Source organism: Homo sapiens, chromosome 3 (genome assembly GCF_000001405.40).
Source record: "Homo sapiens chromosome 3, GRCh38.p14 Primary Assembly".
NCBI lineage: Eukaryota > Metazoa > Chordata > Mammalia > Primates > Hominidae > Homo > Homo sapiens.
Genome location: NC_000003.12, coordinates 66,025,789 through 66,049,779, shown reverse-complemented (window position 1 = coordinate 66,049,779; position 23,991 = coordinate 66,025,789). Strand labels below are relative to the sequence as shown.

Genomic DNA, 23,991 nt, shown 5'->3' with positions numbered 1-23,991 from the left:
TCCTTAGTCTCAGTGACAACAGGTCTGAATACTGGTTATGTCATCTTTGGCAAGATACTTAACCTCTCTGAACCTCATTCTAAATTTGTAAAACAGGGATAGCATCTACCTTATAGTGTCATGAGGATCAAATGAGAATGGCATTGAAAGCACTTATGTGCAGTGTTAGGCACATTGTAAACACTCAATAAATGAGATGTTTACTTTGTTTGCTTGCATTTACTTCATTTTATTTTTGAGATAGACTTGCTCTGTTGCCCAGGCTGGAGTGCAGTGGCACAAACATGGCTCACTGCAGCCTCAACCTCCCGGGCTCAAGCGATCTGCCTGCCTCGGCCTCCCAAAGTGCTGGGATTACAGGTATGAGCCACCATGCTCAGCCTACATTTAAAAGCACAGAACAATCACCTAATTTGTCTGTGTTCTCATAGTTGTTTAGGATCCATGGAAGACCATCATTCCATCTCAAGGTCCTTCATTCATTCACGCATGTATTCATTCATTTTTCAAATATTCATCGAGTCCATGTTGTGGGTCAAGTTGGCAAGGAGCTACCAAGGTAAATAGTAGTCAAAATCATTGAACCAGAAGCAGAAAAACCTAGAATCAAACCCCAACTGCCATTTCCTAGGTTTGTGATGCTCTACAAGTTACATAGCCTTATCAAGCCTCTGTTTCCTCACCTGTAAAATGGGAATGCTAATACTCCCTGCCTTATAGGGTGCAGAGGATTAAATACATGTATCACATAACGCATTTACCAAAATGCTCAGCACCATGAGCACTCCCTCAAAAAACGTTAGCCATTGTTGCTATTGTGGTCATGATTTTTGTTAAGACAAAGACAAATTATTGTAAAGATTTAATGTGACAGTAAATGCAAAGATTTGTAGCAGTGCATGCCATGTTGTAAATGTGTCTCCATATAAATGTTATTCTTCTTTTGATTTGTTTTTCATCCATTTAAAAATGTAAAGCCATTCTTAGCTCATGAGTCAGACAGGGATAGGTTAAGGAATGGATTGACTATGGGTTGTAACCCCTGGCATAGGGCATTGTAGGCAGAAATGATAATTTTTATTTTATTTTATTTTATTTTTTTTGAGACAGAGTCTCACTCTGTTGCCCAGGCTGGAGTGCAGTGGCACTATCTAGGCTCACTACAACCTCTGCCTCCCAGGTTCAAGCGATTCTCCTGCCTCAGCCTCCCAAGTAGATGGGTTTACAGGTATGTACCACCACGCCTGGCTAATTTTTGTATTTTTAGTAAAGACGGGTTTTCACCATGTTAGCCAGGCTGGTCTCCAACTCTTGGCCTCAAGTGATCCACCTGCCTTGGCCTTCCGAAGTGCTGGGATTACAGGCGTGAGCCACTGTGACAGGCCCAGAAAGGATAATTATGGTTTCATGAAAAGTTTGTTTCAACCATATGTATATATGTGTATGTGTGTGTGTGTGCTAGTGATAAAAATACATCTCCTATTGCAAACAGCAATCAGAAAAGTTTGAAAAACATGACTCTAGAGAAGGTTCTCAGCTATCTGGATAGCAGTATCAGGAAATACCAGCTTGCCTTAGCAAGCAGATTGCATAGCTTTAATAGTTTCAGGCTTTAGTGGTATCAATTCAAAAAGTGAAGTCATACTGAGATTATATGATAAAATTAATAACTTAAGGAAGGTAAGTCTAGTCTAAAACAGTCTAGTCTCAAGCCAGGTAACCCTGTATTGTAAGTGAGTTAAAAAAGAAAAAAAGATTGTTTTCTAGTTTTTGCTTCCATCACTCAGCTGTGAGTATTCCCAGCACTCTCAGAGTTCTAGAGGCAAGGTCACAAGATCAAGGTCAAACATCTGAAAAATGTAGATGCTGTGAGTTTGGAAGCAGAAACATTCCCAAGCATATGCCAGCTTGTGCATTCAATAAAGCAGAGGGCTAACTTAATAATGAAAATTGCAGGATCTTCCAACACTTGGCTTAATTCAGCAGTTCTCAGCTGCATCTAAAATCCCTGGGGTACTCCAACTCGGGCAGGCTGAATATCCAAGCCAGGAGTGTCAGGAATGTTCAGGACACAAGGACTCCAAATTTGGGCACTGACTCCCCCGGGGATGTTGCTCATAACCACTCTGGGTTTGTCTAAGTCTCCCCTCAGTTAGGCAACAGTCCATAAAAATGAGTTTAAAATTCTAGGAACGTGCTAAATCTGGAAAGTGAGTAATACATTATCTTTCTGAGTCCTCATTCATCTGGCTATACAGTTTGGTGGGGGCCAATTTTCCAAAGATGGCACAGTTCAAGGAGCAAGGTTGCTCAGACTCCAGATTGCTTCGTTATCCCGAGTCATTTTTCAAAACCCCACCTAGTGTTTGCTGGATCAGCTTTGTGGCAAGATAGCATTGTCCTTTATGGAACTATATATTCACATCGTGGGCAACTTTAACCACCTTAGAACTCTGTGAATGCCTCCATAAAACATATCTTTGAGTATCATAATGTAATCATAAAGCTGGACTTTGTCTTTCACTTCTCAAAATACTTGTAAAATAAATTAGAGGAGAGGAGACAAGAAATTCTTCTAACAATGGCACTTTTAATTTCTAATGCCATGTTTACAAATTAAAATCCTCCCTAATGAGATGTCCTCCACGGTAACCTGGGTTTCCCTGTCATTGACCTTACCAAGTACTGATCTTTTTTCTTGTTTCAATATCAAATTGGGAGGTAGGCTTCCTCCGGGGGTTGGGGTGGGGGGGAAGTGTCTTTTAGTGCTGTGCCATCAGTCCCTACAAGGAGTTGACAAAATAAGTGTTTAATCAATAATTGCTAAAAAAAAAAAAAAAAAAAAAAAAAAAAGGCCAGCTGTGGCCAGGTATGCTGGCTCATGCTTGTAATCTCAGCACTTTGGGAGGCTGAAGTGGGTGGATCACTTGAGGTCAGGAGTTCGAGACCAGCCTGGCCAACATGATGAAACCCAGTCTGTATTAAAATACAAAAAATTAGCTGGGCATGGTGGCAGGTGCCTGTAATCCCAGCTGCTCAGGAAGCTGAGGCAGGAGAATTGCTTGGAGGAAAAAAAAAAGTCAGATGTGGTGGCTTACACTTGTAATCTCAGTACTTTGGGAGGAGGAGGCGGGAGAATGGCTTGAAGCCAGGAGTTCAAGAACAGCCTGGGCAACATAGTGAGACTCAGTCCCTGCAAAAAATAAAAAAATTAGACAGGTTGGTTAGTGTGTGCCTGTGGCTGAGCTATGTGGGAGGCTGAGGTGGGAGGATTGTTTGAGCCCAGGAGTTGGAGGCTGTAGTGAGCCATGATTGTGTCACTGCACTCCAGTCTGGGTGACAGAGTGAGATGCTATCTCAAAACAAACAAAAATTGCTGGGCTGGGCACGGTGGCTCATGCCTATAATCCCAGCACTTTGGGAGGCAGAGATGGGCAGATTGCTGGAGCCCAGGAATTCAAGACCATTCAAGACCAGCCTGGGCAACATGGCAAAACCCCGTCTCTACAAAAAATACAAAAACTAGCCAGGCGTGGTGGTGTGTACTTGTAGACTCAGCTATTAGGGAGGCTGAGGTGGGAGGATGGCTTGAGCCCAAGAGGCAGAGGTTGCAGTGAGCTGAGAATGCGCCACTGCACTCCAGTCTGGATGACAGACAGAGCCAGACTCTGTCTCAAGAAAAAAAAAAAAAATTGCTAAATGAATGAATGAATGAATGAATAAAAACAATCTACCAACTGTCATGTGCCATCATGGGATATTTAATTGTTATTTTCAGTTTAGCCTCAGAGAAACTCAAGACTCATTTTGGGACATTTGAAATCAATGTTATGTAGTTTAACGAGCCATCTGTATTAAACAAGTATAACACTTGACTGGCTTCCATTGTAAGGGGTTCAATCCTGCAGTGTTGCCAGCTTTAGAATATCTTCAAAACATCTATAAAAATATGGGCCAACCACTGCAGCTTTGATTGAAATCAAACTCCCACTATACTTGAATTCGTGGAACCTTTAGGTAACTGCAGAAAAGGAGACCATGATAAGAGTCTGCAGAGGAACCCACCTCGATGAGGTTTCCCTAAGGAGCCCCAAACACTCTGCCAGGCTTGATTAGGCAGCTGATGAGGTTTTTGAATCACTCGTGTTTATTGTGGAAGCCACCGCAAAGCAGGCAGACTCTACCTCTACCCTCAACAACTGAAATTGCTTTATTAGAGACTGAAGTTTCTCTATTCCTTTTCCCTCCTGTTAGTGAAAATCTCCTTTTGGCTGGGATTGCTAAACCTGGATCATGTAGGCTGCTTGTAGCTAGCTATCTTTCCTGGCTGGCTGGAGAAGACCCATCTGTATGTAGTGGGAGAGGGTGAGGGCAAGACAGCAAAGGAGAATCAAGACACAGAGAGAGAGAGAAAGCTGAGGATGTCACTTGAACCTCTTCATCCAGACATATTGAAAACTAGTTTCACCTCTGGTCTTGCCACTTACATGGAGTAATATATTTCATTTTTTGCTTAAGGTAGTTAAACTGGGTTTCTGTCTCTGACAATCAAAAACACCCTAATACAAATTGTTATTTTAGCCTTCTTCAGAATCCTAATCATCAATGGACTATTAAGATTAAATAAATTTGGAAACATTCAGAGAATAAAATATTATTCAATTATTGAAAGTAATAAATGCAAGTTCATGTAGGTCCAGTATAAGATTCACCAAATATAAAAAGTGGTTAATTATTGGTGGTAAGATTACAAATGATTTAATTTAATGTGCCTGTTTACTTGTCTGTTTTAAAAATTTCTTGCAAAAATTTATATTAGTATGGTATTTTTAAAAATATGGGCATTTTACCCTTAGTTTCAATGTGTATTTTCCTTTTTCTCCCTCTCAGTTCTGTTTTGGTACAGTAAATTGATAAAGATATACAATAAAGAAGAGGAAGGTTGGGTGTAGTGGCTCACACTTGCAGTCCCAGCTACTCAGGAGGCTGAGATGGGAGGATCACTTGAGCCTGGGAGGTGGAGGCTGCAGTGAGCTGTGATCTTGCATTCCAGCCTGGGCAACAGAATGAGACCCTGTCTCAAAAAAAAAAAAAAAAAAAAAAAAAAAAAAAAGAAGAAAAAAAGAAATATAGAGTAAGCCATGTTCTAATTACCATATTTTGACAAAGTTGATGGGAGACAATATAAAAGAGGTACACACGTCTGTTCTCGGGAAAATGAGAGTTTCCTGTTCTCAAGGAAATTAAGTGTTAGTAAACCATCAGGTATAGTTTCAGTGGAATTATGGAGGATGATAGGATAATTTGAGATACTTAGTGTTTTATATAGCTGAACCATTTGGGAAATTTTAGGAGAGATACTCGTGATACATTTTTTGATTTCCCTTGGTTCCTCAGACCAAAAGTCTAACCAAATATTCCAGTTCCCAAGATTTATTTTTTTTTTGCACTTAAGTGAAACAGAACATTAACCAGGATTTAAACCCTTCCTGGAGTTACTTCCAGGGCTATTAAAATAATAGTTCATATATGATGTCTTGAAAAGTCACACAATTGTCACACAATTTAATATTTTATTTATTTATTTATTGAAATGGAGTCTTGCTGTGTCACCTAGGCTGGAGGGCAGTGGCATGATCTTCGCTCACTGCAACCTCCACCTCCTGGGTTCAAGCAATTCTCTTGCCTCAGCCTCCCTAGTAGCTGGGATTACAGGTGTGTGCCACCACGCCTGGCTAATTTTTGTATTTTTAGTAGAGATGGGGTTTCACCATGTTGGCCAGGCTGGTCTTGAACTGCTGATTTCAAGTGATCTGCCTGTCTTGGCCTCCTGAAGTGCTGGGATTACAGGTGTGAGCCACTGTGCCCAGACTTATTTTGTTTTTTATTTTTATTTTTTGAGACAGGGTCCTGCTCTGTTGCCTAGGCTGGAGTACAATGGTGCAATGATAGCTCACAGCAGCCTCGACCTTCTGGGCTCAAGCAATCCTCCTTCCTCAGCCTCCTGAGTAGCTGAGACTACAGGTGGATGTCACCACACTTGGCAAATTTTTTGTATGTGTTATAGAGATGGGGTTTCACCATGTTGCCTAGGCTGGTTTCGAACTCCTGGGCTCAAGTGATCATCCACCTTGGTTTGCCAAAGTACAACATTTTATTTTTTCTTGCTTAGCTGAAAGTACTAAAGGGAGGAATACTATGGTCAGAGGAAGCTACCCTGGCTTCAATCTCCCCTACTGGTCTTCTGCCCTGAGTTACCTGTTTGGAGTCGGTTACCCTACCGTATATAACCTATTTATACTAAAACCTCTAATGTATGCCTCCTGATAGCTTTCTTCAGAAATTAAAAAAATAACCAATTTATATGTCCTCCTTTGCCCCTGCAACTGACCAACTTATTTCCCATCCTCATATTTTCAGAAAAAGGAGGAAAATTACCACTTTAAACTGCAATGACACATTTCTTTAATCACAACTGGAAAACTTTGGAAAGAAATATATTTCGGAGAAGGGAAAGAAATGCACATTTCATATTCGTTTTTTTTTCTTCCCCCTAGTAGAACTAGCTATATACAAATAAGATCTTAATTTGTCTAGTGTTTATTCTGTTATAGTTTATTTCTCAGCTGAATCTACCCTCTGTATTAGGAGTTCATTGTTGAAATGCTTATGCAATAATATAAGACTGTTTGGCATGTCACCTGTACTGCAGCCTAAACACTGTAGAAATGTTTGCAAATTAATTCTCTTTGCATTCCTGAATTATTTGAATCTTCAAAGCCCATAGATGGAGAACAGGAGATTGAGTTCTGGAGTGAAACACTGTATCCTTTAGCTTAAAGTGAAGAGACAGAAAGGAGGGGGACTTAATTACTGTGTATACACTATGTAGCAGATTCAAGAGTCCAGAGCATGCTGTTACCCAAATATGCTAAATGGCCACATCCTATCCTCTCAGACTACAGTGTTCTGAGCATGGGTTTTGGGTCATGCCTCCGGGTTCACTTCCTGGTTTTGTTACTTGTAAGCTCTGGGGCAAGTTTCTTCACTTTCTTAGCTTCATTTTCCTCAGTTATAAAATCAAGGTCATTCCTGATAGTTCCTACCTTACACAACTGTGGTGATTGCATAAAATAACTCACATCAGCTGGGCGCGATGGCTCACGCCTGTAATCCCAACACTTTGGGAGGCCGAGGTAGGTGGATCACCTGAGGTCAGGAGTTTGAGACCAGCCTGGCCAACATGGCAAAACCCTGTCTCTACTAAAAAAGCAAAAATTAGCTGGGCATGGTGGTGTACTCCTGCAATCCCAGCTACTTGGGAGGTTGAGGCGTGAGAATCACTTAAACCCAGGAGGCTGAGGTTGCAGTGTGCCGAGACGGCACCACTGCACTCCAGCCTGGATGACAGAGTGAGAGTTTGTCTCAAAACAAACAAACAAACAAACAAACAAAAACCAAACAAAAAAACCCCCAACTCACATCACTACGCTGACATATACAGTAAGCTTGAAAGTTAGGTATTTTATAGCATTATTTCTCCCAACAGAATGTATTGCCAAATTCATAGCTAAAGTGAGACAAGTCAGAATACTAGGATCTTAGATCTATTCAGGAAAAATCTACTTCACAATGACATAACTATAAGCTCTTTTCATTGAAAGTAATGGCAAAACCTGCAATTACTCTTGCACCAACCTAATATAAATACCCCTGTTTTGGCAACCAAATCTAAACTGGCTTTGGATCAAAGGTCACATATTACACAATTTCATGTCATACTTCATCCATTTATTCAACAATTTCATGTCACACTTCATCAATTCACTCAACAACTGTGTATGGTGCACACTCCACACAAGGCATGGTTCATGGTTTTTGGTATTGAGGTTTCAAAGGTTGGATAGGAGAGAGATGATCTCTGCCTTGAACTTCTCCAGTCTGGGACACAGGAACTAGACCAGGTGAAACACCAGCCGGGAAGATGCAGAGGGAGCATCCTGGAAACTGGCAGCCTTGGCTACTTTGAAGGTTCAAATTATTTTTCCTTTTCCTGAATTAGAATAATGTCTATTCTCTCCATATTGCCCTCTGTGCCCACAGGTACTACTCCTTCTTTTGGGGCTTTTCCACATCTAAAACCTGACGTATGCTAAATTCCAAGTTCTTTCCTTTCTCAGCTGCTGTGGTGACACCTGGAATCCTGGCAAGAGGGGGATGTTGTTGCATTGGGAGGAATCACAAAACGCCTGGTCTTGTCCAGCCCTTGGACTCCCCCAGGCAGAGGTGAGAGTTGAGTGGAGAGGTAGGGGACTCCTAATTCAAGGTTGGTTGTGGGTATTCTTAGCAAACAATTACACTTTACTAGAATATGAAGTGGCAAAGTGGGGAAACACACAAGGCTAAGCTTACTAAGCTTACTAATGATTTGCAGGGGAATCTGTGACTCCCCACTAACATGGAAAGTAAAAATGTACATTTTTGTGGAAAGAGTCATTTGACAAATATTTTAGCATTTGCTAGTACGAGGCACCATTCTAGGAACTGGGAATAATACATCAGTAAACCAAACTGTCAAAGTGTCCTGACCTCCTTGAGTTTTTATTTTACACAGAGATGTGGATCACAGGTTTATTTGACAAAAAGGTCTGGGACCCAAACAATGCTTTGGAATCAAGATACTAAACCTATGGTGCTCAGCGTTGTGTACCAACAACACATAAGGGGAACCTTAAAAGTTCAAATGACTTAGCCCTTCCTTGACATTCTGATTGGCTGGATCTGTGCTCGGGTTTGATAATTTATGTTTTGAAGTGCTGTTCATATTGACCTAGATTGCTTCTGAAAAAAAGCTGGAGACAAAGTTCCTCTCACCAAGCAAAGCCATGGAAAATTGGTCACCTCCTTTTTTCAGAAACACAACAATGCAATGGGATTTTCAGTTCTGGATATCCCAAGAGAGAAGCATCAACATCCCTCCTTACTTTTATTAGCTTAGAATAGCACCCTACAATGCTTTAAAAGGATGTTTAAACGTATGCCTAAACCAGGTATGGTGGCTCACATCTATAACCCCAGCACTTTGGGAAGCTGAGTCAGGAGGTTGGCTTGAGCCCAGGAGTTTGAGACCAGCCTGGGCAATCAACATAGGGAGACCCCCCCATGTCTACAAAAAATCAAAAAAATAAAACTAGCTGGGCATGGTGGCATGTGCCTATAATTCCAGATACTCAGGAGGCTGAGGTGGTAGGATTGCTTGAGTCCAGAAGTTCGAGGTTACAATCAGCTAGTCGAGCTACTGCACTCCAGCTTGGGGACAAAGCAAGACCACGTTTCTAAAAACACCACCACCACCATCAAAAAACAAACACACAAAGTATGCCCATATTTTCTAAGTTCTAGAAAGGAGAGGATAAATTATCATACTTACTAACTTGAATCCCCAAATGATTTCCCAATTTTCTTCCCAAATAGTAATACTACTATTAAGAATATAATGAGTTTTTATTATTTGCCACTTTATAAGTGTTTTCCCACGTAATACTTCCAAGAACCCTGTGAGGTCTTGTTCTACTTATTTGATCAGCGAGAAACGGAGGCGCGGAGGTCACCAAGCTTGCTCAAGGTCACACAAGGGTGGACCCCTGAGCCTACCTCTCAACCTCGACTGCTGTGTCCATCCTTTCTTCATCGTTTCAACGTACCCCCCTCATTTCTTGGAATCTCTCCTGTGACCAAAGATGAACAAAATTATACATCACTAAAGAGGAAAACAAACTGCTGGGGAGACTACTCAGCAGCCTGATTTGAGGAGTATTTGGGAAGGGCAGCCTTCCTGTGGTATGGGAGTCTTTCTGTCCGCCACCTCGCCGGGACAGAAGTCACTCCATCCGCACCCCCGGGCGACCTCCGGAGGCCGCAGCTACCCCCGGGCTGCGAATTCCGAGTTCTCTCACGCCCCCGCGGGCGCCAGGACGCAGGGCATGTCCGCGCCCGGCGGGGATCCTTATCTCCTGGCCCCGGAGTAGGTCCGCAGGCTTCTCGGCCCTGCCAGGAACTTGAGGCCGGGGCAGATGATTGACTGGGTCCAGCAGTCTCTGCTGGCAGGGCAGTTGAAAAGCTAGAGGGATCTCTTTTTTGGTTGAATACCTGAACCCACACTAGCACCATGGCTTCTCTCTCTTGCCTGTAGTTTCCCGTGTCCTAAAAAGTTGGTCCCAAAGTTTAAGGATGCGGGTGTGTGTAAGAGCGCGTGTGACCCGCACAGGGATCCCAGTTGGGGAACCGGAGGATCCCACCGTCCCCCTCCCCCGGGTCGCAGAGACCCTGGCAGACCCCGCGCCAGGACCCGAACCCGCAAGCGCAGGGCAGGCAGGGAGGCGGCGAGCGCCCCGGGGCGGGTCTCGGGGGTTTCAGTGGGACCTGCGGCAAGGGGGGCGGCGAACCAGCCGGGCTGGGTGACCGACAGCCTGGCCAGCCACTGGCCGAGGGCGGTTAGGAGGCTTAGGGCCGGCGCGAGTGCGTGCGCGTGTGCGTGAGTGTGAGCGCCAGGGTGAGTGTGGCAGCCTCCCCAACCCCCACCTGTTTGAAATGGTTTTCAAATGCCAAAGCCAGATTGCCCGGGTTTCAAAAGTTGCAAACAGTTGGAGTAAAACACGTGTGCGGCCCTCCAGCCCCAAAGGAATCCGCGGAGTCCAGGGCACTGAAAGAAAAGGAGAGAGGATAGGGGTTCAGGAAGGGTTGGGGGGGAGTTGCCTTCTCCCGGCAGGTCGGTTTTAGGACCCATCGGGAAGCACGTTGGAATCTCTCCCTTCGGGGAGGAGGGGAGGGGTGGGCCGGCCGGCTGGCGGCCGCGGGGCGCATGCGCGCGCGTCTCCTGTCGCCGGCCGCTGCGCTCCGCGGCGCGGAATAGAATGAACTGTAACAAAACAAGCCGAGCCTTTGTATCTGCTTAAAGGGGCCGCGAGCACTTACCTCCCGCCCTGCTCCCCGCCGCCCCGCCACCGCGTCTTCAGGGCTCCCGGCAACTGGCTGGAAGGGCTTCCCTCACCCTCAGTAACAGCCTGCCAGCGAGGAGAGGCGAGCCGGGCGGGAGGCAAAGAGGAGGCACCGCATTTGTAAAAGGCAAGAGAGAAAGGAAGGAAGGAAAAAAAAATAACCCGAGCGGCGCAGAGTGGACTCTGGTCCGGGAGAGCACGGGCGGGCGCCGGAACGTGGACCCAGAGGCACCGGAATGCAAACAAAGCTCGCGGGCGCCTGTGCGGGGCTCGCGGGGAAGCCCAGAAAGTTTGTTTTATGATGGCTTGAGTGCGCGAGCGTGTGCAGGGGAGCGAGGCTGCCAAGTTTCTCTCTCCTGTTTTGTGATTTGGGGAGAGATGTTTCTCCCATGAACAAGCGGAGGCTTGGGGGCTCGTGCTGTGGGGGGCACCTGTCTCTCGTTTTATTTTTTTGGAGGAGGGGTGTAACTCATCATGTCCAAAGTGATCCAGAAGAAGAACCACTGGACTAGCAGGGTTCACGAATGCACCGTGAAGCGGGGACCCCAGGGCGAGCTGGGGGTGACGGTGCTGGGAGGCGCGGAGCACGGGGAGTTTCCGTACGTCGGAGCGGTGGCGGCGGTCGAGGCAGCGGGGCTTCCCGGCGGCGGCGAGGGCCCGAGGCTGGGCGAAGGGGAGCTGCTTCTGGAGGTGCAGGGGGTCCGGGTGTCCGGCTTGCCCCGCTATGACGTGCTGGGGGTCATCGACAGCTGCAAGGAGGCCGTCACCTTCAAGGCCGTCAGACAAGGTAAGGCAGGGCGCGCCTTTGGGGGGCGCCCCGAGAAAAGGAGGGTGGTCTGTGGGCTGCCCCTTATTCTCGATTTCCTGCTTCCCTCCTCGGAGCGCAGTGAAGAGAAGTTGAGGCCGTGCGCCCTGTGGTGGCGGTGAAATACACAAAGTTGTTGCGAGGTTGAGGGTTGTTTGCCCACCTGCGTTTCGAAGAGGGGGCTGGGTTTGCGCAAGGTAGCGGGGGGACGTTTCTCAGGCCTGGCTGGCCAACCTGTTATCTCCGCCACTAAGTGCAGCGCAGTCTCGCCTGCACCCGAGAGAGAGTTGGGGAACTGAGTCAGGGGCATGGTGGACGCTGTCCTGGCTCCTTGGGGGAGGGATGCAGCTGGCGTTCTTTGGCCACGAGTCAGTTTCCATACCTGCTGAGTGGGTATACAGAAAGAGAGGGTCTGTAGTTTATTGGACCTCCCCCATCAGAAAATCTGCTTCACCCCGCGACCCCTCCAGGTGAGCTAGGACACCACTGCCTGGCGGTTCCTGAGCCCGCCGCCAGAAGAGCCTGCATTCACCCCTCAGCCGGATGACGCATGTGTCTCCACCGTGTGGCTCAGCCATACACTTGGGAGGGGGAGAGGGGGAAGGGGTGCTTGCTTTTAGCTCGAATCGGGTCCAAGTTTACCCTCCCACCACCACCATCATCGTCATTATTGATGATGAAAATGAAGCTACTATTCATTGTTGGTTTACTACATGCCCGGCTCTGTGTAAAATACTTTACTTGCACTATCTCACTCCGATTCACAACAGTTCTAAGAACGAGTTGTTCTTATTTATATACCCCAAATTAGAGATAAGGAAACTGGGATTGATACTGGTTAAGTGACTTGCTCAAGGTCACACAGTTGCCAAAAGCGAGGGTTTGAGCCCTTGCTGCAGAGCCTTAAGTATGGAGGAGGAAGGAGTGGGGGGATGACCCTACCGCACTGAAGGGGCTGATTCCTGAGGAGGGAGTGGAAGCAAATTCCTCTCTCAGAAATCTGTAGAGGCCTTTTAAAAGATGCATTTGCTGGCTGCTGGTGATGTAGGTCCCTTACATCTCACTTTGGTACAGACAAGGGGCTGTCCTCATGTCAACCCAATGGAGACCAGCTGAGGCCCTTAAAGGGCTCCCTTGTGCAAGCAAGTGCCATGACGCAGGTTCTCCCCAGTGAAAGCACCGAAGGAAGTCGTGAAGTTGAACATGGTGAAAAGTTCCCATGTGTTTCCATAAGGACAGGCAGCAGCTGGAGGAATGTGTCAAAGGAAGGGCTGGGCCTAGCTGGTCCTCTCTTGGAAACAGGCGTGCTCCAGATGAAATGGAGGAGGGGGCGGCCGACTCGCCTGGCCTTTTAGCAGCTTTGGGAGCTGAGGAGCTGACACTTAGCTATGGAAAGCTCCTTGTATTTATGACTTCATTCTCCACTGGGATACCTCCTCCAAGAAGCCCTCCAGAATCCTGCTAGGATGCACAAATTCTTCCTCCTTTGGGCTCCTTTAATGTCTACTTTGTGGCTTTTTTACTTACTCTGAACTCTGAGTTAGGTCCTCATTTCCATACAAGGTAGTGAGCTCATTAAAGGGAGAGATTGTGCCTCATTCCTGGCATACCTCTCCAGGTTTTGCTTGAGGTTCAAAACCTTTCCTGGCCTGACAATGCGTCTTCCTCACACTGGCTTTCCTGTGGGTATTACATAAGCTAACACGTGGAAAGTGCACCCAACAGTGCCTGTACATAGTAAGTGCTCCATAAAGATTAGCTATTTATGTTTGAATTGATTTTAGCAGCTATTTATTTCTGAAACTAGTTTTTAGTGTCAGGAACCTGGATAATTATGACTTGATAGGGCTGTAGAGAAAATACTGTGTGAAGGCATAGGATGGGAGCAGCTGCAGGTCTCAGTTCAGGACCATTTTGGAGAAAGGGTGGAGGAAGGACAGGCAAGGGTACCTGCCCAACTAGGGGGATGCCTCGCAGTGTCTAACGGGTCCTGAATAGGGGCTGGCTTGCAGTGTTTGCAGTGTGCAAGATGCTGCATGGGCTTGTGTCTCTTCCTTCCACTAGTTGCCAAATTTCTGGGAGGCGATGTCCCAGGGCTCTCTCATCATGGAGTTTAGGAAGGCTTGGTGAGATAATCAAGTGGGTTTGGAAACAGACACCTCTGAGTTGAAAGGAAACTGTAGTGTCTCCAGGTGTTAGCTCTCTTCACCCCTTGTGCACAGATTGTTCACAGCAGGGGCGAGTGTGTGGGTATGTTTCTGTGTGTGTGTGTATATGTATGTATGGATGGATGTACGTGAATCTACTTGTAATGGGATAGAAATATGATACTGATTGGGAAACCTGAATGGCCTGGAATTCATTGCAGTCTGAAAGTGACTATTTCATGTAATAATTACACAGGCACAGTTGGATCTTCTGACGTCTTCATTACCAGTAATGATGGCCCTAGAAACCATTTCACCAGTTTTCTGCTCCCTCTTCCATGTTGAGAATATGATTTAGATTGTATGACAGAATTGCTCTTAATGTGTCTTCATTACTGTGCCTTTTAAAGTCATATCAAGCAGGCTCATACTTGGTATATGGTAAAGAAAAATACTACTTTTGTGTTGTTTGCATCCCAAGTTAGCCACTTCCAGGGACACAGATCACTCTGGATACTGTCTACATGGTGGGAGAAAATTCTGTTTTTCTACTTCATGGCAGTTCTCTGGAAAGATACATGGACCAAAACTGTCTGTGACAGGACTGGATTGTGCAGGAATCAAACTCAATGGATCTGCCAGGTTGGACTTGGTTCATTTTAAATGGAGAAGACAGTCCTTTGTCAGGTTGGAGTTGGTTCATTTTAAGTGGGGAAGACAGTACTTTGTCATAAAATGCCTTTACAAAGTTATATATAATTATGTGTATTCAGGTATCATTTACCTATAGTAAAATGCATATCTTAGATATATAATTTGATGAGTTTTAAGCGATGTATGCACTCATGTTAATCACTCAAATGAAGATAGAGAACATTTTCATCACCCCAGAAATTTTTCTCATGTTCCTGTCCAGTTAATTCCCCCCTCCCCCTGCACCATAGATCTACCATAGAATAATTTTGTCTTCAACTTCATAAAAATGAACTAATGCAGTATGTACTCTTTTGTGTTTGGCTTTTGTTACTCAACAAAATATTTTGGAGATTTCGTTTTGTTGCATGTGTACTTCATTTGGTTCTTTTTTTATTGCTAAGTAATATTCCATTGTATACACATACCAGTTTGTCCTTTTGCTTGTTTATGGACATTTGGAGTATTTACCATTTTTTACTATTACGAATAAAGCTGTTATTAATGTTTCAGTTGCTCTACATCTTTGGCCATCTTTGATTTTGTTTGTCTTTTGAATTTTAGCCGTCCTAGTATATGCTTCGGAAAAATGTAATTAAGGAAACTTTGATACAGGATATAAGATGTCGCTAGTATGTATTAAGATCTTGCCTTAGAATATAATAGGTGCTTGGCTAAGCTGATGCTTCGTGGGCATTCTCTTTTTCAGTCCTTACAATTGGACTCAGATGTTAGAAGCTGAGGTTCAGAGAATTTGGGTAACTTTTCCAAGGGTCATACCACAGTGGCAGTAGAGCTGCAACCCAGCTCTGTCTGATTCCAAAGCCTGTGCTCCCAATTCCTGGGACAGTAGGTCTCCAAGTGAGGTCCTCAGACCAGTGGCATTAGTATAGTAACCTGGGAACTGGTTAGAAATCCAGATTCCTGGGCCCCACCTTAGTTCTACCAATTCAGAAGCTTTGCGGGGGATGGGGTTGGGGTTGGGGGGTGGGGTAACAACCATGGGGTGTTTTAATAAACCCTCAAGGGATTCTGATGGGCTTATTAAGGGATTCAAGGGTTCAGTTTTAAGAACTACTGTACTAGGGTATAGACCAAAATTGAGAAGATGACATCAGATGAGACAGGTGACCTGGGTTCTAGAATAAGCTCTGCCAGTCACATTCTTGGAGCCTACATTTCTCTATGCCAAAAATAAGTGGGTGAGCCTCTTCAGGTTATTTGTGCTCGTGAAATCCTTTGTTTCCATGAATCACCCAGACTCCAAAGGTTTAAAATGGTATGATTGTAGTTTCCCAAAGTGGTGTATTACAGGTCATGCTTACATATTTTTGCAGGTGAATTTTGTGGTTTTTCAAATTACCCAGGAACTGTAACTATCCCTCTACTTTTTGTGTATGTGTGGCAGTGTGGAGATAATAAAAGAGATACAATTTAAAAGCCAAACCAAACCACCACCAGACCCTTCCCCTCACTGTAATGAGGGAAATTGTGATCACATATGGTTGAATATAGTTCTTTGTGTGGTTTTTTGTTTTGGTATTGTTTTGATTCATTGGAATGTATGACAATAACTCTCATTTTAAAACACAGGGCCTTGTCTTTCAGAGTTGTTTGGTTTCTCATGAATCTCTGGTCTTGCTTCTTTCTCCTCAGTGACCTCCTTCTGGTGTGCTGTAAAATGCTTAACAACCAGTGCTAGTAGTGGGTAGACCCTGATTTATAGCATAGCTGGAGTTGGGAAGAGACGCGTATACTTGCTGTTCCCAAGCCAATGTGAGCTGGCCCCCACACACCACTGACTGCATATAAGATAGTGCCCTTGTGGTGGCTCACCTGTAATCCCAGCACCTTGGGAGGCCAAGGTGGGTGGATCACTTGAGCTCAGGAGTTTAAGACCAGCCTGGGCAACATGGTGAAGTCTCTACCAAAAAATACATAAACTAGCTGGGCGTGGTGGCGAACTTCTGTAGTCCCAGCTACTCGGGAGGCAGAGTGGGAGAATCGCTTGAGACCAGGAGGCAGAGGTTGCAGTGAGCCAAGATTGTACCACTGCACTCCAGCCTGGGTGACAGAGTGAGACCCCCATCTCACACACACACACAAAAGATAGCTCCCTGAGTAAAGTGCCATTCCCTCACCCTGTTTGTTCCTTCATAGCCTTGACACAATCTCGTATTATCTTCTGTTGTTGTTGTTGTTGTTTTTTTTTTTTTTTTTTTTGAGATGGAGTTTCGCTCTGTTGCCCAGGCTGGAGTGCAGTGGTGCGATCTCGGCTCACTGCAACCTTTGCCTCCCGGGTTCAAGCAATTCTGATGCTTAGCCTCCCGAGTAGCTGGCATTATAGGCATGTACCACCATGCCTGGCTAATTTTTTGTATTTTAGTACAGGTGGGGTTTCGCCATGTTGCCCAGGCTGGTCTCTTGAGCTCAGGCAATCTGCCTGCCGCCTTGGCCTCCCGAAGTGCTAGGATTGTAGGCGTGAGCCACCGCAACGGGCCCTGTTTCTTCTTTATTGTCTGTTTCCCCTCCCATGAGAATAGAAGTTCCATGAAAACAAGAAGCTTGTCTCTCTTGTTCACTGCTGTATTTCTCAGTGTCTAAAAAAGACCCAGCAGGGCCAGGCGTGGTGGCTCATGCCTGTAATCCCAGCACTTTGGGAGGCCGAGGTGGGTGGATCACAAGGTCAGGAGTTCAAGACCAGCCTGGCCAAGATGGTGAAACCCTGTCTCTACTAAAAAAAAAAAAAAAACAAAAAAATTAGCCGGGCGTGGTGGTGGGCGCCTGTAATCCCAGCCACTAGGGAGGCTGAGGCAGAGAATTGCTTGAACCCGGGAGGCTGAGGTTGCAGTGAGCTGAGATCGCGCCACTGCACTCCAGCCTGGGTGACAGAGTGAGACTCATCTCAAAAAAAAGACCCAGCAAATAATAGGTGCTCACTAAAATTGGTTGGATGCCTGAATGACTATTCCATTGTTTCGGAAGGTAAGTGCAACTAGGCCACTTGCAACATCTTTCCTCCCTTTCTCTCGATTTGTCTTTTACTTCTTGTTTAGGATCCAGAGGTCTTCACTTTCTCGTAATCAGATCTTCCAATTAGCAGGCTTTCTGTGTCTAATAATTTATACTGGGCTATAAATGACTGACAAGGATTAATGAATCCTATTCAAGTATTTCTGCCTGTTGACTCTAACTGAAGTTTAACAAGTGAGCCTCTAAACGTGAAATTTCAGATGTTCAGCAGGCAGGATGATGAGGATTTTTTTTGTTGATGTGGGACCTGTGTCCTCATGCCTAAAAATGATTCTTTCCCTCCGTTTTCTTGCAGCATTGTCCCTGTGTACTTTTTTTTTTGGCTAATAGCAAATCAGATCTTTGCTACAGAACACAATCCAATTTTAGCCCTCTCGCTCTTAAATTGTACTTTGTATTTATGTCTTTTTTTTTTTAACTTAAACTTTCAAAAATCAACCTGTTTTTGTTCTTGGTGCCAAAAGACCACTCTTGGAAGGATATTTTTAGGTTACACTGTGGAACACTGTACAGGTTTTACAAAAAATGAAGCAAGGACGTACAACGCACTTGTCCATCGTTTCCAGTGGCCACCCCTTGTCATTGGCTGTGTTATTTAAAAATAGATTAACTTGACCTTCTGTGGCAATGGCATACAGTTGGCTCACCGTGTTTCTTGGCATTCATTACCCAGCTGGTTTTAGATGGCAGAATTGATGATATCCACCAAGGGGAATTAAGTGGTTTATAAGAGAAAACATTCTGACATCTCCTTACCACAAGGGTTTACATGAAGGATGTTGCTTTGTAAACGAGGGTTATTTAATGCAAAGCACCACTCTCTGGTGTTAGTGGCCCTTTCCTTGAGTTTGTATATACAAGTAACAGGATATACTGATTTTGTATACACTGAGAATAAAGGCTGTCAAATTCGTTAAGGGCTGACATTCACATCCTAAAAAAGTAGGTTACTGCATGCCTGCCTGTCTTTTTGCAGCTCATATGTGAGATCTGTAACCTTGAAAAATCCCTAGTACACACTGGTGCATTGCTAGACTTCTCCCCTATGGAGGTCGGCATCGATGTAGTATTTCTTATGAATTCATTTTGTTGTTTCAACAGATGTCAAGGTTGGTCCTATCATATTGACTCTGCTTTCTAGTTAAGTGTCCTGTGGAGGGTCTAATGTGTTCTGGATGTCAACTTTTCCGAAGGCATGTAGCAAAATTAGAAAATGTAATTTGAGCAGTGTCTTTTATGATTAAATAGAAATCTTCTCTTTTTATGGCTCAGTAATTACATAATGGAATAATCCATTATTAATCATTTCTGTAGTCTCTGTATCTGAGTGAAAGCCGAAGTCCTTATAGTGACTTCCAAGGCTGCCCGTGACCTGTCCTAAGGATATTACTTCTCTTTCTCTGTCCTGCCTGCTAGTGCCCACCTGATCATCTTACAGGCTTGCTATCTCTTGAGCTTCAAGTCTTTCTGAAATGTCACCTGCCCAGTGAGGCCTCTTGTGAGCACATTATTGAAAACCATAACTCCACTGCCACGTGTCATTCCCTGTTCCCCCTCTCAGCTTTATTTTACTCCATAGTATGTAGATCGCTTCACCACAAGTAAATTTCTTATTTTACCTCTTTCTCTAGAATGTAAGCTCTGAGATGGCAGGAATGTTGTCTTGTTCTCCCACAGTATCCCCAGTAGCAAAAACAGTGCATGGTGCCTAGTACTTGCTTGGGTATTTGTTAAATGTTTACAGTCAAGTTTAGAACTAGAATAAATCTCTTCTGAGGTCAGTTACCTCTGAAAATGTAGATATATAGAAGTCCCTGAAAATTTAGGTGACTGATGATGGATCACATTAAAGTTGGTTAGAGTTTAACATTTACAGTCAATGGCTGGGGCTAAAATAGAGCTTAGCCGATTGATCCAGGAATATTCTTAAAGTCAGTGAACATTGCTGGCCTGCTTCAGTTGGTCTTAGTATTATGGGTTTACAAGTAAGAACATGTGGGTCCTTGGTTTCTTGTCAAGAAGGGGAGGGAAGAGTCCACTGGAGTCTCCTTGGAGTCAGAGATAAGGTCACATTTCCAATTTTAGGTTTCCCTGCATGGAAGAGGTCCTTGACTTTAAAATTAATTGAGTGTCCTGATTTTCAGAGGTTACTTTGATTTGGGAAATGACGGTAACAAGGGGTACCAGGTGGCTGATCCAAACAGGAGAGCTGAGGCTACTAGAGTCACCATGAAGATCTTGTCGAGTTAGGGATAGGTCTGTGCACAGCATCCCTTACTTAGCCAAGTCATTGGCCTCAGTCCACTTTCAGTCCTGTGTGCTCCCCACCAACATGAATCCCTAGAAGGCAACTCTAGGTCAGGATTTGAATGCACAGGGCTTATCTGGGAGGTGCTCCCAGGAAGTTCCAGTAGGGCAAGGAAGAGGTGAGACCAGTGAGTCAAGAAGGCCAATGGAGATGCTTTAAAGAGCAAGTCACCACTGTGTGTCTAAGGCAGCCCCATGCTGAGTGTGTCATGGAACTTTGCAGACTCTCTCACCCCTAAACAGACTGAGAGGTTCTTCTGGCTGTGTGTATAGACTTTTTCTGTTACCATCTCCAGTGTCATGAAGATGAGTTCCATAAGATAATTACATTCTCATGGCTAAGGTATCAACCCCACCATTACTGTGGATGGAGGCATTTGTGTGTCTGTTTAATGGGCCACAGTTATGCTTCTTACAATAAGGATAATCTTTACTCCTTTATGAGACAAGACTCGAGGCTCTCTTTATGGACAGGGGCATGATGGTGCAATTAAAAGGCGATCGTGCCCTGATTATAAGCCATGTTTCAAAATTACTGCTATATATAGTGTCATCAGGACCGTAGTACTGCTCATAAAATGATCCACAAATAGCAATTTACTGATGTGTCATAGAGTCAGATTTTGGACCCAAGGTTGGCTTGGGTGAAGAGGCAGGCTTTACACTTTATGAGCTGGGTGTTCTGGGGCAAGATGCTGAACCTCTTTGTGCCAGGTTTCCCCCTCGGAAAATGGGGATAATAATGATACCTACTCTCTAGGGTTGTTGGAAAAGTAGAAAGTAAACCACATGACACAGGGCTTGGCACATAGTGAGTGCTCAATAAATGTTGGCTTCTGTAATTGTTTGAATGCTCCCCATTTGAAAGCCCTTGGGAGAGAAGAAAGAATCTCTTGAGAGATGGAGATTGCAGTGTACAGTTCTCTGGAGAGCTTTTCAAGTCTAGAAAAAAAACACTCTTTTTTCTGCTTGATTCAGATGCTGCCTTTTTGAAAGGCTGAGACTGGATTAGTTCAGACAAGTAGGAAGGAAGCCTCCGGACCTCACGGAGGTTTGAGTTGCCCGAGTTTCTCCCACATTGTCCTCGGTGAGGAATTGCTTTTAATGATTGTTCGCAGGTCGCAGGTTGTGGTAGTGTGGAGGGAGGGCGAGTTCTTGCGTGTTCAGGCAGGCTTTTACCATCAACGATGATTCTTGAGAATGGGACTCTGTGGTCCTCTCATCTTCCTGGTACCACGTCTGGGCTCCTACATCAGGAATGGCTGGGGAAGCAGTGGGGCTTAGTGGTCATAAGGGTTTGGAGTCAGACCGCCTGGGTTCAAATCCAGGCTCTCGCACTTCCCAGCTGAGAGACCAGGGACAGGTTAGCCTCCCAGAACATCAGTTCTCCCAGTTGAAAATGAGAATGTTACCTGTGTCATAAAGTGGTTGTAAGGATTAAATGAGATAATGTATGTAAAACTTGTACTACCCTGCCTGGCTCTTAAGTGGTGCTCATTGAAGTACCTACCCTACAAGCAGCTGTGATCTTTTCTTTTCTTGATCTCAGCTCACTGCAACACCCACCTCCTGGGCTCAAGCGATCCTCCTACCTCAGCCTCCTGAGTGGCTGGGACTGCAGGCATGCACCCACCACACCTGGCTATTTGTTTGTTTGTAGAGATGGGGTTTCACTACATTGCTCAGGCTGGTCTCGAGCTCCTGGGCTCAAGCGATCTGCCTGCCTTGGCCTCCCAAAGTGCTGGGATTACAGGCATGAGCCTTCGTGCCTGGCCAGCTGTGATATTTTCAGCTGAGAAATGGAGGTACGTCAGTTAGTGCCTCTGAATCAGTGGTTCTCAGCTGGGGGCAAGTTTGTTCCCCAGGGGACATTTGGCAACGTCTGGAGCCATTTTTGGTTGTCACAATTAAGGAGAGGGTTGCTTCTGGCATCTAGAGAGTAGAGGCCCGGGACCCTGCTGAACACCCCACAATGTACACAACAGCCCCTCAAGGGAGAATTATCCAGCCCAAAATGTCAGTAAGGCTGAGGTTGAGAAAGCCCCTCTACAGGCATGACTCCATGCTTGATACTGGGAATCTGAGTTAGGAGGGATATGCTAGTAATTGTAACTATTATTTATTGTTCCTCTGATACATCACTTAAACCCAGGTTAAGGGTTTGTCTAGGTAGATGAGCTTATTCTCATTTCAGCTGTGAGAAAATTAGCTTGAGAAGTCAGGTTCTCCTGGTTCCCTGACTGCTGACCTAGGTGAGATTCAAACTCAGATCTATCTGATTCCAATAATCTTACTCTAGGTTTCCATGTTAGAAATGCCTTGACAGCAGGGGCATGGTGGTTCATGCTTGTAGTCCCAGCTACTAGGGAGGGAGGCTGTGGTGGGAGGATTGCTTGAGCCAAGGAGTCCGAGGCTGCAGTGAGCTATGATGGAACCACTGCACTCCACCCTGGGTGACAGAGAAAGACCCTCTCTTTTTTTATTATTTATTTATTTATTTATTTATTTATTTATTTATTTATTTATTTATTTGAGACGGAGTCTCATTGTCACCCAGCTTGGAGTGCAGTGGTGCGATCTTGGCTCGCTGCAAGCTCCACCTCTGGGGTTCACGCCATTCTCCTGCCTCAGCCTCTCGAGTAGCTGAGACTACAGGCACCCGCCACCACGCCTGGCTATTTTTTGTATTTTTAGTAGAGATGGGGTTTCACCGTGTTAGCCAGGATGATCTCGATCTCCTGACCTTGTGATCCGCCCGCCTCGGCCTCCCAAAGTGCTGGGATTACAAGTGTGAGCCACCGCGCCCAGCCGGTCCTCTCTTTTTTTAAGAAAAAGAAGAAAAAAAAAAGAAAAAAGAAAGAAATGTGTCTACCCCATAGCCTGGAGCCCTCATGTCAATGTAGAGACACCGGTCTTAGGCTGGCCCTTTTGCTGCCAGAGAGACATGCTTGGTGACCCCACGGAAGATAGTCCGATAAATAAAAAATGGTTTCCCAAAGTGTTTCCTGCCAAAAAACGGTGTGCTGCTATATATTTTCAAGCAATTCTGCTTAATTGCCGCCATCTCCTCTTCTCTCTGATCAGTCTCACCAACACTGTCCATTCTTTCCTCCCGTGTGCCCTCTCTCTATCCTCCATGCACTTCATTATTTCAAAGAGTCACAATGGTGCCTTGTAACTATAGTTTTGCCCAACTGTCTCCCATACTAGATTATGTGTTTCTTGAAGGCAACATCCTTATTTTATGGATCTTTGTAGTCTCTGCCCTCTGTAGGTACTCAGGAATATCTGTTGAATTGAATTCTTTTTGAGGGTAATGAGTAGGCAAAATTAAAAAAAAAATTGTCTGAGATCTTGTTGGCTAGAAAATCCATGTCTTATTTTTAAAGCATATTAAATATACTTAGCCATATGTCTGACTTTTCCGTGATGATTTAAGATGGTTGTCTGCCAGTTGTTGTAGCATTTTGAACTATAGAGAAAAATATTGAATTAATTATGTTGAAGGTCTTAGAGGGCCTTTATTCTGGCCAGATGTGTGCATCTGCTTGCGCCTGTTGCTTATGTAATGTGGCCGTGGAAGGTACCACCTTGGCCTGGTTTAAATAGTATTTTACCACCTGGATTCTTGGCCAAGCGTTAGAATTTACATCTGATAGGGAGAGCATGTTCATTTCCTCCTCCATCTATCAGCCTGTTTAAGTCTGTGTGAGTTAGTTAAGAATTCAGAACTCAAGATCAAGTTGTTAAAAAAAAAAAAGCTTTCTCCGGTGTTGCAGCATGTGTTTTTTTAACATTTTATTTTATAAAAAGCGTAGGCATCTAGATTTTGGTTTCTAATCTTTTAAAAACTTAAATAGTATCGTGACCTTATATGACTATCAATCACTATCTAAAATTGGTCTGTGATTCCACAGCTTATGTATTTTCCTGGTGAAATTTAAATTTTTTCTCATTTAAACAATGTATACAATACAGAAATATGTTAATATGGCAGAAAAATATGTCC

At 44.7% G+C, this 23,991-nt stretch overlaps 1 protein-coding gene and 1 long non-coding RNA gene across 7 annotated transcripts in view, besides 4 other annotated features; one reads left to right on the top strand and one right to left on the bottom strand.

Annotated features, from left to right (window-relative positions):
• On the bottom strand, positions 9,486–10,827 carry LOC105377128 (uncharacterized). The gene is made up of 2 exons (XR_001740440.2): positions 10,582–10,827; positions 9,486–9,728 (listed from the first exon to the last, which is right to left on the bottom strand). It is a non-coding gene; the product is annotated as an uncharacterized LOC105377128 (long non-coding RNA).
• Positions 10,775–10,894: a silencer, noted in NCBI's record as "silent region_14503". NCBI's record gives its function as "represses an Ori minimal core promoter by ATAC-STARR-seq in GM12878 lymphoblastoid cells {active_cell/tissue: GM12878}" and the evidence as "EXISTENCE:reporter gene assay evidence [ECO:0000049][PMID:35858748]".
• Positions 10,862–23,991, top strand: part of MAGI1 (membrane associated guanylate kinase, WW and PDZ domain containing 1) — a 685,393-nt gene continuing 672,263 nt past the window's right edge. For all 6 annotated transcript variants that reach the window (NM_001033057.2, NM_015520.2, NM_001365904.2 and 3 more), the window contains exon 1: positions 10,862–11,784. In NM_001033057.2, the coding sequence (NP_001028229.1) occupies positions 11,472–11,784 (313 nt within the window). In that variant the 5' untranslated portion in view covers positions 10,862–11,471. The remainder of the gene's footprint in view (positions 11,785–23,991) is intronic.
• Positions 11,847–12,674: an enhancer, noted in NCBI's record as "H3K27ac hESC enhancer chr3:66022781-66023608 (GRCh37/hg19 assembly coordinates)". NCBI's record gives its function as "activates a minimal SCP1, AML or CMV promoter by ChIP-STARR-seq in primed H9 embryonic stem cells {active_cell/tissue: H9 hESC(primed)}" and the evidence as "EXISTENCE:reporter gene assay evidence [ECO:0000049][PMID:30033119]".
• Positions 12,675–13,502: an enhancer, noted in NCBI's record as "H3K27ac hESC enhancer chr3:66021953-66022780 (GRCh37/hg19 assembly coordinates)". NCBI's record gives its function as "activates a minimal SCP1, AML or CMV promoter by ChIP-STARR-seq in naive H9 embryonic stem cells {active_cell/tissue: H9 hESC(naive)}" and the evidence as "EXISTENCE:reporter gene assay evidence [ECO:0000049][PMID:30033119]".
• Positions 13,503–14,332: an enhancer, noted in NCBI's record as "H3K27ac hESC enhancer chr3:66021123-66021952 (GRCh37/hg19 assembly coordinates)". NCBI's record gives its function as "activates a minimal SCP1, AML or CMV promoter by ChIP-STARR-seq in primed H9 embryonic stem cells {active_cell/tissue: H9 hESC(primed)}" and the evidence as "EXISTENCE:reporter gene assay evidence [ECO:0000049][PMID:30033119]".